Raw genomic sequence first — 16,997 nt, forward strand, 5'->3', positions numbered from 1 at the left:
GTGTACTCACAAAATCAGCTTCTCCTTTTTCTTAAACCCACTTCTCCATAACCAGGCCGCCTGCTGCTGCACCAGGAATTTACTGCTGTGAGCAACTATAAACATTGTGTTAATGGTAGCACTGCCTGAGAACAGTCATTTGAGAGTGCAGTGTGTACAGTTTCAGGCCAGAGACAATATTTTCTGCCCTCTACACACCACAGGGCACACACTGTAATCTGATATAGGGTAAAGGTACTTTAATAATTATTATCATTAAAAGCAAACAACTCCACAGATCAATGCCTCTTTTAAAACATGTTTTCTAATCTCTGTTTCCTCTCAGATGTATGGTTATTGTCCACCTGGACAGGCCCCAAAGTGACAGCCAGAAATCTGCCTCCACCACCCCTTCTGCTGTTCCTGCCATCATATTTAATTGTGTTTGCTCAACTCGAAGCCAAACTCATATGCAGTATATTCAGATGGTTAAAATAGCACAGCACTGCGCTGTATTCACAGATTATTTTCAACACCACAGTTCTTGGGAATTAGTTTGGAATAAATAAGGTAAAGAGAAAAGAAGCAACATAAATTTGTTCCAGTGACAAAGAAAACAATATCAAAATGTCAATCTGGAGTTTCGCCATGAATGAGGGAAGGGAGAGCTCCTTTTGGTCCACTCTCCTGCAAATGCAATCACCATCTCATTCTCTAGTCTGGATTTATTTTAAAGTGGGTGAGAACAAAAGCAAAAAACTAATAGTAAGAAACTGTGAAAAGTACCTTTATTATTTCAAAAGATCAATGTACAATCACTGTACTTATTCTTAGATAGCATCAAAAGTAAAGGTGTAGAACTGATATATATGTTGATTTTCTGAAACTCTAGGGAGTCATTATTTTTCACAATAGCAAACTTTCTAAATTGAAACACATATATCATTAGTATATATTCAGGATCTGTTTTCTGAGGTCTTGGCTGCTATATACTTCTTCAAATCCCTCAAAATAATCACTCATAATTAGTTTACAAAGGCTTGGTTGGATACTGTTATCAGCTAACTCCACCTTAAAGTTTTCTACTTGCATTTTTTGTATCATTTAACAAACACAAACTCTGTCATCCAAATGTCAAAAGATTTATAAGTCTTGGAGTATAAAACAGACTTTGTTGCTGAAGAGGTTATGACTTGAACTGGATCAATTAACTAAAAATAAAGACAAGCTTTCTGTTATTTTAATCTGAGCAAAATTTACATAAAAATAATAACAGTGGGGGTTTTATTTATTCATTTAACTTTTATTTTAGGTTCAGGGATACATGTGCAGGTTTGTCATATAGATAAATTGCGTGTCACAGGAGTTTGGTGTACAGATTATTTCATCATGCAGGTAATAAGCATAGCACCTGACAGGTAGCTTTTTGATCTTCCTCCTCCCACTCCCTACCCTCAAGTAAGCCTCAGAGTCTGTTGATCCCTTCTTTGTGTCTGTGTGTTCTCAGTATTTAGTTCCCACTTACATGTGAGAACAAGCAGTATTTGGTTTTCTGTTCCTGTATAAGTTTGCTTAGGATAATGGTCTCCAGCTCCATCCACATCCCTGCAAAAGACATGATCTTATTCTTTTTTATGGCTATGTAGTATTCTGTAGTGTATATATGTCACATTTTCTTTATGCAGTCTACCATTGATGAGCATTTAGGTTGATTCCATGTCTTTAACTATTGTGAATAGTGCTGCAATGAAGATACACGTGCATATGTCTTTATTGTAGAATGATTTCTATTCCTTTGGGTATAAACCCAGTAATGGGATTGCTGAATTGAATGGTAATTCTGTTTTAAGTTCTTTGAGAAAGTGCTACACTGCTTTCCACAAGGGCTGAACTAATTTACATGCCCACCAGCAGTGTATAAGCATTCCCTTTTCTTCATAATCTTGCCAGCATGTTATTTTTTGACTTTTTATTAGTAGCCATTCTGACTGGTGTGAGATGCTATCTCATTGTGGCTTTGATTTGCGTTTCTCTAATATTTAGTGATATTGAGCTTTTTTTCATATGTTTGTTGATCATGTGTATGTCTTCTTTGAAAAGTGTCTGTTTATGTCATTTGCCTACTTTTTAATGGGGTTGTTTGCTTTTTGCTTGTTGATTTGTTTAAGTTCCTTTTAGATGGTGGATATTAGACCTTTGTCAGATGCATAGTTTGCAAGTATTTTCTCCCATTCTGTAGGTTTTCTGTTTACTCTGATGATAGTTTCTTTTGCTGTGCAGAAGCTCTTTTGTTTAATTAGATCCCATTTGTCAATTTTGGTTTTTGTTTCAATTGCTTTTGCATCTTCATCGTGAAATCTTTGCCAAGGCCTATGTCCTGGATAGTATTTCCTAGGTTATTTTCCAGGATTTTTGTAGTTTTAGGTTTTACATTTAAGTCTTTAATTAATCTTGAATTGATTTTTGTATATGGTGTAAGGAAGGAGTTCAGTTTCAATCTTTTGCGTATGGCTTGCCTGTTATCTTAGCACCATTTATTGAATAGTGAATTCTTTACCCATTGCTTGTTTTTGTGAACTTTGAAGATCAGATGGTTGTAGCTCTGTGGCATTATTTCTAGGCTCACTATTCTGTTCCATTGGTCTATGGGTCTGTTTTTGTACCATACCATGCTGTTTTGGTTACAGTAGCCTTGTAATATAACTTGAAGTCAGGTAACATGATACCTCCAGCTTTGTTCTTTTTGCTAGGATTGCCTTTGCTATTCAGGCTCTTTTTTTGTTCCATATGAATTTTAAAATAACTAATTCTGTGAAGAATGTTATTGGTAGTTTGATGGGAATAGCATTGAATCTGTAAATTACTTTGGGCAGTATGGCCATTTTAACAATATTGATTATTCCTATCCATGACCATGGAATGTTTCCATTTGCTTTTTTTCATCTCTGATTTCTTTGAGCAGTACTTTGTAATTCTTGTTGTAGAGATGTTTCACACCTCCCTGGTTAGCTGTATTCCTAGGTATTTTATTCTTTTTTTTTTTTTTTTTTTTTTTTTTTGAGAAGGAGTCTTGCTCTCTAGCCCAGGCTGCAGTGCAGTGGCATGATCTCGGCTCACTGCAAGCTCCACCTCCTGGGCTCACGCCATTCTCCTGCCTCAGCCTCCCCAGTAGCTGGGACTACAGGTGCCTACCACCACGCCCGGCTAATTTCTCGTATTTTTAGTAAAGACGGGATTTCACCATGTTAGCCAGGATGGTCTCGATCTCCTGACCTCATGATCCACCCGCCTCAGCCTCCCAAAGTGCTGGGGTTACAGGCGTGAGCCACCGTGCCTGGCCGATACTTTATTCTTTTTGTGGCTATTACAACAGACATTTTAAACATACAGAGCTTAAATAACCTGACTTTCACCCAAATTTGGAAAATGAAGAGAATGAATATGCATATAGATACTTTTTTACTTCAGATTTTCCAGCAAATATTCTTATAATACCTACATGTCTATTAACCAAACATCACATAAGAATACCTACCCTGTGCTCATCTGTCAGGAGCTGACTTTTTCTCTGCATTCTTATTCCTCATTTGTTTATTAATTAATTCAATACACACTACTTAGAGCCTGCTCTGTGCCCAAGGGCTGTTCTAGGTAATGAAGACACCACCAGGATAAGGCAAACAAGGTGCTATTCTTATTGAGTTTACATTCTACCACAGAGGGTAAGATTAAAAGACAATAAATAAACAGAAACAAGTATTTCAGTTGGCAATAACTCAAGAAAACACAGTAGAGTAGAATGCTAGGGTAGCCTGGAGGGTCCCTTTAGATGGGTGAAATAGAAAAGTCTCCTCAGGAGGTAACATTTGTCTCAGATGGACAAGATGGCACCAGCCATGTGAAGAGCTGAGGGAACTGCAAGCACCAAGACGCTGAAGTGGGAAAGCGTTTAGAGAATCCAAATAACTTAAAGAAAGCATTCTATTTAGAGCATCATGAATCGGAAGGAGATGTTTTGAGATGAGGCCAGATAGTGAGCGAAGAACACATTTTTGCCAAGGACTCAGGCAGCTGCTTCAAGATTTGTTCTGCCTTTGCAGTCAGCACAGAACCAGCCTGTGGAACAAAGGCCAGTATTGACTCAGATACAGACATTGTTGTGGCCCCACAGATCTCCTCTTTCATGTGTCTGAGCGGTCCCTCAAGTCTTTATCTCCTGGGTCTTTATTACCTGAGTGGTTCACTTGGCTTTTTGACCTTCCTTCTTGCTCATTTTCTGTTTGTCTTCCAGACCTGTGGGCCTGTTGCCTGGTTTCTGATCTGATACTTTTTCTGATCCTCACTAGTGGTTTAGGCCTGGAGTCCACATAACCTGGATGTTCTGAGTGTTCGATCTTACAGCAACTTCCTACTAATCCTTAATGGACTTTACAGTTTCCTTACCTGACTAGACACCAAAACTGCTGCTATGTTACTACTTTTTTGAATATGTACGGTGGTGCCTCTGTGTCTGTGGGTTCTGCATCCATGAATTCAGTCAACCTCAGATAGAAAATATTTGGGAAAAAAAATTCCACTGAGTTCCAAAAAGCAAAACTTGCATTTGTTGCATGCCGAGTATTACATTGAATCCACACAAATGCAGTGATGTGTGAGAATTGCATTAGGTATTGAAAGTAATCTAGAGATGATTTAAAGTACATGGGTGGATATGCATAGGTTATATGCAAATATGACACCATTTTATATCAGGGACTTGGCATCTGTGGGATTTAGTATCTGAGGGGGTCTTGGGATCAGTCCCTAATAGATACTGAGGGATGACTGTATTGTGTTATCAGCTTTCAAAAACACTTCCAAATACTTTAGCACTCTTGACCGTGTCAACAATCTCCATGAAGTAGCTTTACAATTATTATTATTTTATTTTAAAGATAAGGAAATCTAAAGTCAAAGTAAGTGCCTGAGAACACAGGAATCCTGCTTTCCAGTCTCCATCATATTTAGGGGGTGAGGGAGGTCTAGTGTACTCTAGGCATGTGGGGAGACTAATTCCACAGATGGCCTGCTTATTATATGAACGTTGAAGACAAGGCACAAATGAATTTAAGGTGAATAGAAAGGATTCTTTTCCCTTATCTTCAATTTTTTTCATACTTGTATATTTCAGTTCACTTTTCTTTGTAATATTATGTCCTCAGACAACATTCACAGCCCCATACATACACTAGAATGTAGTATAGAGATAGACTAATACAAATATATTACCAATAAAAGGAGCAAAAAGAGAAAAAGTGACTCATTTAATTGGTGAATTTGGAAGGAAAAAACTGAGCATATTCAGCTGAACTGCTCTGAATTCTTTCCTTTGGCTACACCTAACCCCAAACACCATAGTTGGTAGATGTTGGATAGCATATATAACTTTCATTTTAAAAGCTCAGAGTTCTATGGTCTAATTTTCAAGTATGTATCTTTCAGATAACCATGTTGTCAACAATTAAATGTACTATTAAAAAAATCGGCATTTTCAGATAAGTTCCAACAAGAGAGACAAGAGGGTGTCATCGAGAAACTAACAATTTCCTTACCGGTTCAATATTAAACAAAACTCATAAATAACCTTCTTAAAATAAATCGGTGAGCGATAGAAAAGCCTGTAAACCCTCAGGTGTCTTTAATCCTTCTAAGGTGGATCAATTAGGTTCATCATAGCTCGTGTGCGGTAGCTTTGCAGTAGAATGATTTTCATACCATTCTTTAAAAATCTAAGGTTCTTATTAAGATGAGATTCTAGCTGTTTCTATTAAAAATTCATGACCCTTTTCCAAGAGAACTGTTTTGACCTGTTATTTCTGGCTAAATTTGTATGAGTTCTTTTCTCCCACCCACTCCTGCACAGATCTCAAGAAAATACACTTTAACAGCTAGTGATCCAAAGTCCTTAAACAAAAACAAAAATATGCAATTCTGTGTAAAACACAAATTCACTTAGAGGTGAATATTATAAAAAGGAAATGTAGTAAGTTTTGAAGGATGTTTGTCCCTAGAGGACCATTTAGTGGATTGGAAGCAGCAATTCATGACTGAAAATAAACTTAGTAAAATATAACACAGTTAATCTGTATAAACTCAAAACTTTCCAAATAGGAAAATAATTACTTACCTTTCCTAGTTTGTTTCCAGACAGACATTTAATATTGTATAAACATCATGTCACTATAGATTCAATAGAGGCCCTGGCCTCTCCTCCACCAACCCCTCCTCTCACCTCTCCAAATATCTTTGGGACAGTATAGGTGCACACCTGGTGACTTGTGTATGAATAGGGTACCTCTGGACTGCTGCCAGCCAGGTGGTAAGCTTGCTGGGGAAAGGCTCTGGCCTTGATCAGTAAGCTTCTGGGTTGTTGAACTTTGTCTATGATGGGTGTGTGAGCTTAATTCAGGGGTGAAATATTATAAATACCACTGTGACCTCACATCTAAGCTATAGCTTTTATTGGCAATAAAGCTGCCTCTATAACTTCCTTCTGAGAAATACTGCAACCTCTCTCTTAGGATATTTTCTTATATTCATCCAGATTTCTCAAGAATGATTTGACAATTCTACTATGTTATTATCATTATTTTCTTTCAAAAAAAAGATACTCAATATTTTTGCAAAAAGATATGGAAATACATTCTATGTCACAAAGATCATATAGACGATAAGCCTCAAACTTAGCTATAAGCACACAGACGACTCAAACAATAAAAGGAATATCATAAAATATATCTTATTTGAAAATGTATTATACTTGATTAAAAATCCAAATTTTTAAAGTTTACACCTTATAGTTTTTACTGAAACTTTAAGTATTTAAAAACCATGTTAATTGATCCAAAGCAAAATGTTCATACTTTTGTGCAAAATAAATTACATGTTGTTTCCTAGGCTGAAATCATATTATCATTTCATTGGATTATACTGCTCTGTGTGTGTGTGTGTGTGTGTGTGTGTGTGTGTGTGTATCTTTGTGTAAAATAATATGCTACTGTGGCTATATTAAGACAGTACCAACATAACTGGCTGAAAAGTGAAAAATTCAATCATGACAGTTTTACTTACATGTTTTCCTGATTAGACTAGTTGATTTGGCTTGGCATTTTATACGCATTCATTAAGTTGTTGTAAACAAAGGTGTAGTATTATAATAACGTTCAAGTCAATAACTTTTGGTCTTTACAATAGTGAACTATTAAATATACAAAGTCAAAAATATTTAAAATTCAGTCTAAAATCCACTAATCTCATCTCTGAAACAAATGTTACTGCCTTTTACAAATTTTTACTATAGAGAATGGTATTTAGAGAGTATACTCCTATAAATAGCCATATTTTTAAAAGATGGGAGGCTGGAGAGGAAGAAAACAAAATAGATTCCCCTGCTGATAAAATGTTTTCACTTTTCCCAAAAGTATGCTAGTAAAATCTGTGTACGTGTATACACACACACACGCACACACACAACCTTGTCCCTCAACCAGACCCCCAAGGTCCCCAATTTTATTACCTGTTTTTGAGCAGCACACTGAAGGTCATCTTATCCAGTCTCAGATAATTTGGCAGCAACTTTGCCCAATTCCAGTTCCATTTTGTGATGGCTGACTGTTGATAAATGAGAAGACACTATTGTTAGTTATTAATCAGAGTTAATATGATCAGTAAATTAAAGCTCCAGCTGTGATAGACTAACTAAGAAGGAGGGGGGTCCAGAACAAGGACTTAGACAGATAACATCAATCATGTCCACAGAAGAAGGTTTTTATTCCAATAAGACGGCAATTAATTTATAAATCCATTTGGGGATGTAGTCATTATTTATAAAAATATAAATCAATTTATTGAGTCGTTATTCTTCCAAGTGTTAATGGCATTTGCCCAGCAAGTTTCTCTGAGAAGGAGACTGTTTGAAAAGCAAAGCAAAATAGTTGGCAACTTTTTCATACATCATATCAATTTATAGTTTGATTTTCTTTTCAGCAACCAAAAGTTTGATTAAAAAACAAACTTGGAAGTGCTAAGAATCAAATTATAAGATACAGCTTAATTAGAGTGTGATATTAATGTTACCTTTTTGGTTAAGAAAATGCTTTAAAGGGAAGATTATGAGGATCTGTAAGTGTAAATTATATAAGTGATTCCTTTTTCTCATTAATAGAAATTTCACAACAGACTATGGAGAAAAATTACTGTGAAAAAAATCTCATAATTCAGAACTCAATAAAATATGCCATTTATTTAAATGAAGTAAGGAAAATTTAACAGCTATAATAATTATTTATGGTTTGGAGCAATCTAATGCACAACACAGAAAAGCAGCCAATAAACTCAAACTTAGTACATTTAAAGTATTATAAATGCTTATGCTCCTTAAAATGAAATAGTTTTGAAAACAAGAGTCCAGACTGACGTTTAAAATCCAACAAGAGCTATCCCCTGTCACCTGCTGATTAATAGAGCACTACAATCCTGTCATAGAGCAGGAGAATTCCACCCTGGGTTGTCAGCATTTGAAGGTCTTACTCCACTACAGTATTGATGAGTGTAGACTAGAGCTGTAACAGGCATGGTAAAAATATTATCTGCATGCTGAATTAGGCCATTGTTTTAATTCTTATTTTCATCAGAGTTCTAGGTCAAGCAATCCTTCTCTTCTGCCCTGTTAGTTCAAATTGTCTGTCAAGAGGTTTCTGGGAAAAGCCACCAGAAGAATGAACAAAGCAAAAGCAACTTTATATTTCAAATACTTTGGCAGAAAGACGATCTTTTCAGTGTAACTACTGAAACATGCGGCTTAGACGATGGCATAATCTGACATTAAAAAATGTGTGGTGTTTATCACATTGACTTTATTCCAAATAGACCGGCTTTAAGATCATTAACAAATTCATTTTAAATTTGGGAATGTGTCTATGGTTATAAAAAGCAAACTTACCCCATACCACTTAAAGTAGGAGCTCAGTGCTCTATTTATAATTAATTTTAACTATTTTCTAATTTGCCTGATAAATTCGTAAAGGTTGCAAGGTATTTTGTGAGTGTGTGTATTGGGGGATGGGGGTGGCAAGGGAGGAAAGGAATGTTACAAAATGCCTGGTTCTTCAGCTTCTGTAGACACAGCCTAACAGATGTTCCCTCTGCCCATGGTAAACTGACCAGCCAAAAGTTAAGTTTTACAGACCAAACATATGAATCAGTTTGACAAATAGAAAAAAGGTAAAATAACTCTTAAAAGTCAATTTGTACAGACCATGTAAATAAGAACAAGGCCTTTTGCTTCCTAGCAAAATAAGCTTATGAGTAAATACTCAAACACAAAGCAATTTTTTCTTACTTGGGTAAAGAAACCACACATTTAAATTAAATTTACCATTTAATTTCCACATACCTGATCTAGCATGTTTTCACTAAACGCCTTATACACATGGAAAGGGTTAAAGGCAGAAGGCTGATCTTCTATACTCCTCAAGGTCGTCTTTAAAGGTCGGATGGGTAATGGCTTTTCCTCTGAACTATTCATAGAAAACAGCTGTTCTTTTAAATATTCCTTCAAAGAAAAGAAATTACAAGTTGTGACGGTGAGAAGCAGACATTCTCTGTAAAAATAAACTGATCAATATCCAAATTTATCCTTTCAGCACATTTGCTAGATTACAGTGTATTACTTGCCTCAGGGAAGAATATATTTTCAGAAGATACATAGTAGAGTACCAATCAGCATTGCAATAAACCCATCAAAAACAGGTTTACCTAATATTTAGTATAGATTAGGAAACCATTTACCAAACTCTTATATAATGAATATATGTTTGATATATCAGGACCTTTTTAACAGGCATTGTCTTGTCACTGGTTCACATATTAACGTGTCTGGTTACCAAAACTTAACTCATCTGCATGATTATTCACAGTATAAGATTGCCCATCCATTCATTAAGTGTAGTTGTTAACTACTCCTGGCTCAGCAGAGCACTGAGTACTCTGATATTTTACTGCAAGCAGTCTCATTCAATGCAGAATTAATTATAATGCAAGCTCCTAAACTCTATTTCCATCCCATGGAGTGAAAAATATCAAGGCTCAAGAGAAGCTCAAAATATGTCATTATAATCCCCCAACTGCCAGTGCAGGCCTGGGCAAAAAAAAAGCCAATCTACAACATTATACCTCATTTTCCACCCATAAATAAGGTGAACAATCCTTATGTATTTTATGGAACTTTTTCTGGAAGATGACAAATTAAAATGACTAAAAGTCCCCATCAACTAATAAATGCTTACTATTAATAAATAAGTCATCTAATAGATTTTAAAAAATATAAATGTTCTTGTGATGTTTCATGTGTCACAATGTAATTTTTTTCTTTGAGGTTAGGGTTAGGATGAAGTTCAGAATGTTAGAGCCAAAAAGGTATTCAGACATCATTTAGAAAACCTGTGCTACTCAAAGTCTGGGGCACTGGATCAGCTGAGTTAAGCCTCACCTGGGAGCTTGTTAGAAAAGCAGAATCTTGAACCCTATTGAATCAGAACCTGCCTGTTAATGAGCATTCCCAGCTGGGTGCAGTGGTTCACACCTGTAATCCCAGCACTTTGGGAGACCGAGGTGGGCAGATCACTTAAGGTTGGGAGTTCCAGACCAGCCTGGCCAACATGGTGAAACCCCATCTCTACTAAAAATACAAAAAATTAGCTGAGTGTGGTGGTGGGCACCTGTAATCCCAGCTACTTAGGAGGCTGAGGCAGGAGAATCACTTGAACCCGGGAGGTGGAGGTTACAGTAAGCTGAGATCGCACCACTGCACTCCAGCCTGGGCGACAGAGAGACTCCATCTCAAAAATAAAAAAAAAAAAAAGGAACTCCCAGGAGATCCATAGGCACAGGGAAACTCTAGCCGAATGCCACCCTCAATGGTTGGTGCTGAAAGGTCAGAGGACAATCCTGAGATCACACAGGTGTGAGAGGTAAAGCTGTGGGGAGGAGCCACATTTCTGGTCTCAGTTCACTGTGCTTTTTTCTGTGCCTCTATAACTTTAGGAATGCCCACTGTGTTCATCATGAGAGGCAAATTTTATATTATAAAACCCTAAAAATTGAAAGAAACCACTGCTGAAGTTAACAATCATCGTTTTTGAACTTACTTGTTATAGAGCAGCAGTCCGCAATCTTTTTAGCACCAGGGACCAGTTTCCTGGAAGACAATTTTTCCATGGACATGGACCGTGGGGAGGGGGAGTATGGTTTTAGGATGAAACTGTTCCACCTCAGATCATCAGGCATTAGATTCTCATAAGGAACACACAACATAAATCCCTCAAATGTGCAGTTCACAATAGGGTTCATGCTCCTATGAGAATCTAATGCTGCTGCTGATATGACGATAGGTGGAGCTCAGGTGGTAATGCACACTATCCCGCCACTCACCTCCTGCTGTACAGCCCAGTTCCTAACAGGCCACCAACTGGTAGAGGTCTGTGGCCCGGGGGTTGGGGACCCCTGTTGTAGAGCATATCTTTTTAGAAAGATTAATTCTTTAGTGTCTGATGGAGGGTCACACATGGACTCTTACTAAACATTGTTAATGATAAAGCCATCAGAAAATAGTTTTATGCCTAGATTTAGATTATTGAACAGAAACAAAACTTTTCTCCATTATGATTTATGCAAATAAAATTTTTAAAAGGAATACTTTCGTTTTTATTGACAAAAAAGCTTTGTTTTGGCTAATAACAATCTGTCTTAACTGATTTCGCCTTACGTAACTACATTTTGACTGTTTCCACTATTCAAAAAAGAGAAACTGTTCTGTTGCAAATTGTGAAGAAAATGGAATGTTCTCCTTTGTTGATCTTTCTAGGTACTGCACTGACAGTCATCACTAACCCTTCTTAACCTCAGATTCTTTAACTGTGACATTGCTTTAATCAGATTTACCACTAATTGGGCCATATCTTTAGAAGATTTCCATTCTTTCTTGAACACCTTCCCTGTGCATTATGTCAAAGCTTATTCCTCTATTCATCATTTCTCCATTTCTCTTCACTGAAGAGCTCTGTCAGTCTGATGACCTCAACTACCACACTCATATATAGACCAAATCTATATGCATGTCTGCTCTCATTTGTGCCCATGTGTATGGTAGATGCACCTGACGGTCATTACTTGATCATACTCTGAGAATGACCCTGTATGGCAGATGCACTTGAATGTGTTTTCAGAGTTCCAAGCTAAGGAATCTGGGAGTGGCCAACCCGAGATCCATTCCTTATCTGTGAGGAACCTCTAAGCCCCTGGCCCTATCCCACAGTACTGGAGCCATACAGGGGATTGAGGCCCTTTGTTTTGGGTTAAATGAAGGTCGTCAGGTGGAGGTTGCTAGGTAGAGGGTGTTAAATGAAAATGCTGTATAAACTGCATGCCTCTTGCAAGTGGTTGTGGTTTTCCTGCCCAGCCCACTACCATTGGACTCTCTTCCCTGTATGTAAGCTCCCAGTAAAACCCCATGTCTTGTGGGCCAGCTCTGGGTCTCTTCAGCCTCTTGAACCTGGTGCCAACCCCATGGGAGTTGATAGGGGTGTGGCACAACATCATGGTCAGGGCCTTAACTATCATGAGACATTTTTGCTTGGACATCTTATCTTTATCTCAAAGACAAAGCATCTTTAACCTCATTTTCCCTGATGACTTCTTTGTCTCTATGAATGGCACACCCATTCTTCCCCTCAGCTAGGCCTGTACCCATAAATGCTTCACTATTTACATTACATTCTTGAGAAACATTTAGCAGCACATCTGAAGGTGCTAAAGACTCATAACACTACTCATGAAATGAACAAACATCACAATGCAATGTCACTTACAGCATAGCAACACCTCACAGTGGAAAAGCAGTCATAAGTACTATGCTAGTCAGCTAGTCATGCTTGTGTTGTTTGGGCTTATTGCCTGTGTTTTTGTAATAGTTACAAGGCAAAGGTACCTTTCTTTGCCTCTAGCCTCACCTAACATTATGCCTCTTACCTTGCAGTGCCATGCCTCATTCAGCCCAGTAAACCACCAAATACTTAGCTCTATATCCCATCTGATAGACATTACTATAACAGTAAATATACTCAGTTGTAACAAGATAAATCATAACACTGAGCAAAATGTGGTGGTATCCCAGTGTAATCTCATGGTATCCTGTTCAGAATCACTATGTCAGAGTTATATGAGCTCTATGAGGGAAGTACAGCCTTTGGCTTTCCAGAGTATAACCGGATAACTGATGGCCAATAAGTAGTCAATTCAATTTTGGATGATATTGCTTATTGGTGATTATTGAGCTTTTTAATATTATGCACCTTTTAAAAATAGGACCGTTCTATCAGTTTGGCAATTCAGACCAGGTTTACCATCCTCAGAGCTATTGTAACACTGCTTGGCTAAGGATATGGGGGTAACCACACTGCAACATCTGTTCCTCAGTAGTTGTCACAATTACTTTGGCCAATCCGAATGGCCAAGTGCACATACCAATGAGGAGCATCACTTTGCAATAGAGGTCTTTCAGTTTGCCAGGGTGAGGGGTTTCTGAGTTTCCCAGATAGAAACCCTAAGCAAGCTATGAGGATCACTGACAAGAGTGAATAGGTTGTGTTGCTTTGTAACAATTACAAACTGAGCTCTCGTGCCTTAAGGACAGGGTCATATCTCATAGCTACAAATTTCTTACATCCTTCTCAGGCTATCATGGAATACATTGTTATGTCACCTGTTTATCGACTGTTTGATCTATGAAATCCAGGAAACAAGATTTACTTGAAGTAACTTTCACATAGCTAATGGTGGGCAAAACGTTTATATAATCAAGTTGTAAAATGCTGTTGTCAAATTTAATTTATTCCCTGAAAATGTATGGTTATAAGGCCTACATTATTGAGATAAAACTAAAACACTATATATTCACATTATACAATTTTTACTATTCCAAAAATTACATTCATGTATTTGCAAATATAAACGCAATTAGATGCCACAATCTAATTCAGACACATATGATCAAATTCAAAACCTGATTAAGTTAGAGAACTTTGTTTCAAGTAAATAGCTGAGATAACGTGCTATTTACATTTTCAATAAAACAGCCAAAAACATGCAAGGTCAGAGGCAATGGGATAGAAAGGCATAACATTGGTTCAACCAGTGTCTGTGTATTAATGAATTTTCCTAGGTTAATCTGGTTGCTACCGAATATGGTTCAATACTCTTCTTTAAGTTTTTTCATTAAATAAGAAATCTCCAGCCTCACCAACACAAGCATGATATCTGCAGGAAAAGAGCTAAGTCTCTTCTGAAAATTCACTGTACAAATACCAGATTTTAACATCAGCTTAACAGTCACAAACACACAATTCCCAAACTACACCTCTAGTCTCTACAATTCAGAACTGAACTGAGTTTATGAGCCATGTTATTGTTTAAACCATATAAATAAAATCTACATTGTTTCGGTGAAGCTTTTTCTGTATAAATGCAGAACAGCCGGGGCTGAATAGATTCTATTAATAATGCAATATTGAGTTTGGTATTGACTTTAAGAAGTATTATCACCTCCTTGACTAACCCTTAGCTGCCAGCAGACGCTGCCTCAGGCCAGTACACACCTAATTGCTCGATAAAAAGGCCGTTTCCCTACCTCATTGAGCTGCATGATGTGATAAATTTGCCTCAGGTACTCCCTGCCACCTGGTTTGTGGCAGAGATCCAGGACCATCGTGTTTATTTTCTGCTCAGTCAGTTCAAGAGCAACATCTCCTTCTTGTAAGGCCGTGCTTTTCTCTATTGTCATAAATGCACTAAATACAAAGAAAGCATATACATATCAGTAGTGAAGAATTGTAAAGATGGAGAGTAATCATGGAGATGGAGTGTGGAGAGTTGATGTAAATCTCAGATTCAAAGCATCCATAAAGACTACGCTGAAATAGGTAAGCCTTCCCAAACCGCTGCCACTCACATAAACAGCACCTTAGAATTAAGCACCTGAAAGCATTTTCAAAAATTGAATCGTTTCTTCTAAAACATGTCTTTACTGCATTTATACTCCTATCTATAAAACATTTTCCCATTACTGCAATTGTTGAAATTGCTATAATCATGAGATGAAAACAAAACATTTCTTTTTATGAACATGTAAGAAATAATTTGTATTTTCTCTTTGTGGATAAAAAGTATCTTTGATGCCTGAAATAGCTTTGGTATTTTGTCTTTTGTAGCTTCCTCTTTACACCTGTTGTAGAACACATTGAAGACTAATTGAAGTGTCAAAAGGGGGAGCCTATTATGCTAAATATAGGCTGGGTGCTTCATGGCGGTATGCTTACCACTGGGTATTTTAAATTGGCCTTTGACACTTGTTGCCTTTTAAAAATATGTGACCCACTCCTGTTTCTTTCTGTAACAGATACTTAGCACAAGTCACTATCTTGATTATTCTTCCAGAAAAAAAGTCTACTAACACCACACCAGGAATGTGCAAGATATAGTTCTAAAACATTTCTTTTAGAATGATCTATATACATATTGTTGATTTTGAGCATTATTTACATGGTAATAATGGATGACAAAAAGAATTTAAACATTTCAAACTATACCAGTGCAAAAAATTATGATATTCAATGTACACATATATTCCACACTAATTTTCTTGTTGTAATTGTTATTGGGATCATGCTACACTTTGCAATGTAAGTATTCTTAAAACTCATGGTTTTCCACTGTTTCCAAGACTAAATAAAATTTTCTGTGGTGTAATCAGCTGTATACTGCAGTTCATTACTGAGATTTTGCCATGATTATAAAATTAGTTCTGCTAAGAGTCAATGCCGCTGACCTGAAGACTGAACCAAATGACACCCAGCTGCTGGACATTAACTTTGATATTGCTTCCACATGTATCTTCAAAACATCCTTCTCAGAAAAGAGGAGGAACTTTAAGATCATATAGCCTTGCTAAAAAATAAAGAAAATCCTACTTTGACTTAGAGATATTCATTAGCTAGAGTAAATTGCTTGTTTTTTTAAAAGACCTTTTTACAATAAAATAAGTTTGCAGGTATCTTTTTGAAGGTGCATACAGGTTGCAAAAAAAAAAAAAATTCTTGTCGGGTTTTGTAGAGGCTGACATTGAAAAAGTTGAGGCCTTTTAAACAAAGGAGTATCTCAGTGTCAGCTCCTGAATTGTATCCTTTCCTGTCCATCACTGTGCAGGTGAAGCAAATGATTGGATTCAGTCAATGCTATGATTAATGAGTTCCTCTCCGGATTTGGGACTGCCTATCAATCATGTCATTAGGGAGAATGTGCCCTGAAAGAGGCAGACCTTAGCCAAGGAATAACTGCATTAATCTTAATCTGTATATGCACCCAGCCAGCCAAGTCAGGGTCACCATGATGAAAAACAATAATCTTCAACTCGACAAATTACTTTGCAAAGACAGATACTTCTTTACTTTTTGGGCTGTGTGTTCTCCAGAATCTAAGTTGACTGTTTACAGCTTGAGTGTTACTACAAAGTGAAGGTTATTTTAATGAATAGTAATGCTTTCAGGCAGTATGCAAGACAGGCAACACTTACAGCTGCCACCTTTTCCACTGCAGTTATTTTCACCATTTCCATAAAATCAAAGTTAAATCTGGATGCAAGTGAAAGGAATCTAGCTAAATGGTATCATGTAGTTTCAGATAATCTTCATAAGTAATTAAGATTTAATGGATCTTAACAGAAGAACCATTTTAGTTTAAATGCTTACATACTCATATATTTTTTTAAATTATGGTAGAACCAAGGCAACCCTCTACCTAATACAGGCATCATGTTTTGAAATACATTTTTCCTCACAGTGTATATCTATGAGTAAAATGACCACTGATTAGTGAGAAGTACTTAGAGTGGAAGTGCACTTGTATAACAGATAATCAATTTGAAATCA

General features: G+C 36.9%; 1 protein-coding gene across 17 annotated transcripts in view; it reads right to left on the reverse strand.

The window, feature by feature from the left end:
• Positions 1–16,997, reverse strand: part of KIAA0825 — a 467,754-nt gene that overhangs the window by 225,983 nt on the left and 224,774 nt on the right. For 16 of the 17 annotated variants that reach the window (XR_948246.3, NR_169751.1, NM_001388325.1 and 13 more), the window contains 3 exons: positions 14,702–14,861; positions 9,413–9,571; positions 7,535–7,629 (listed from right to left, as the gene is read on the reverse strand). Coding sequence is in view for 15 of the 17 variants with exons in the window: in NM_001388325.1 (NP_001375254.1) it covers positions 7,535–7,629; positions 9,413–9,571; positions 14,702–14,861 (414 nt within the window). In the remaining 2 variants the exon portion in view is untranslated. Of the gene's footprint in view, positions 1–7,534; positions 7,630–9,408; positions 9,572–14,701; positions 14,862–16,997 lie in introns of all 17 variants that reach the window. The other variant, NM_001145678.3, reaches the window with a different exon arrangement.

This window comes from Homo sapiens, chromosome 5 (genome assembly GCF_000001405.40).
Source record: "Homo sapiens chromosome 5, GRCh38.p14 Primary Assembly".
NCBI classification, from domain to species: Eukaryota; Metazoa; Chordata; class Mammalia; order Primates; family Hominidae; genus Homo; species Homo sapiens.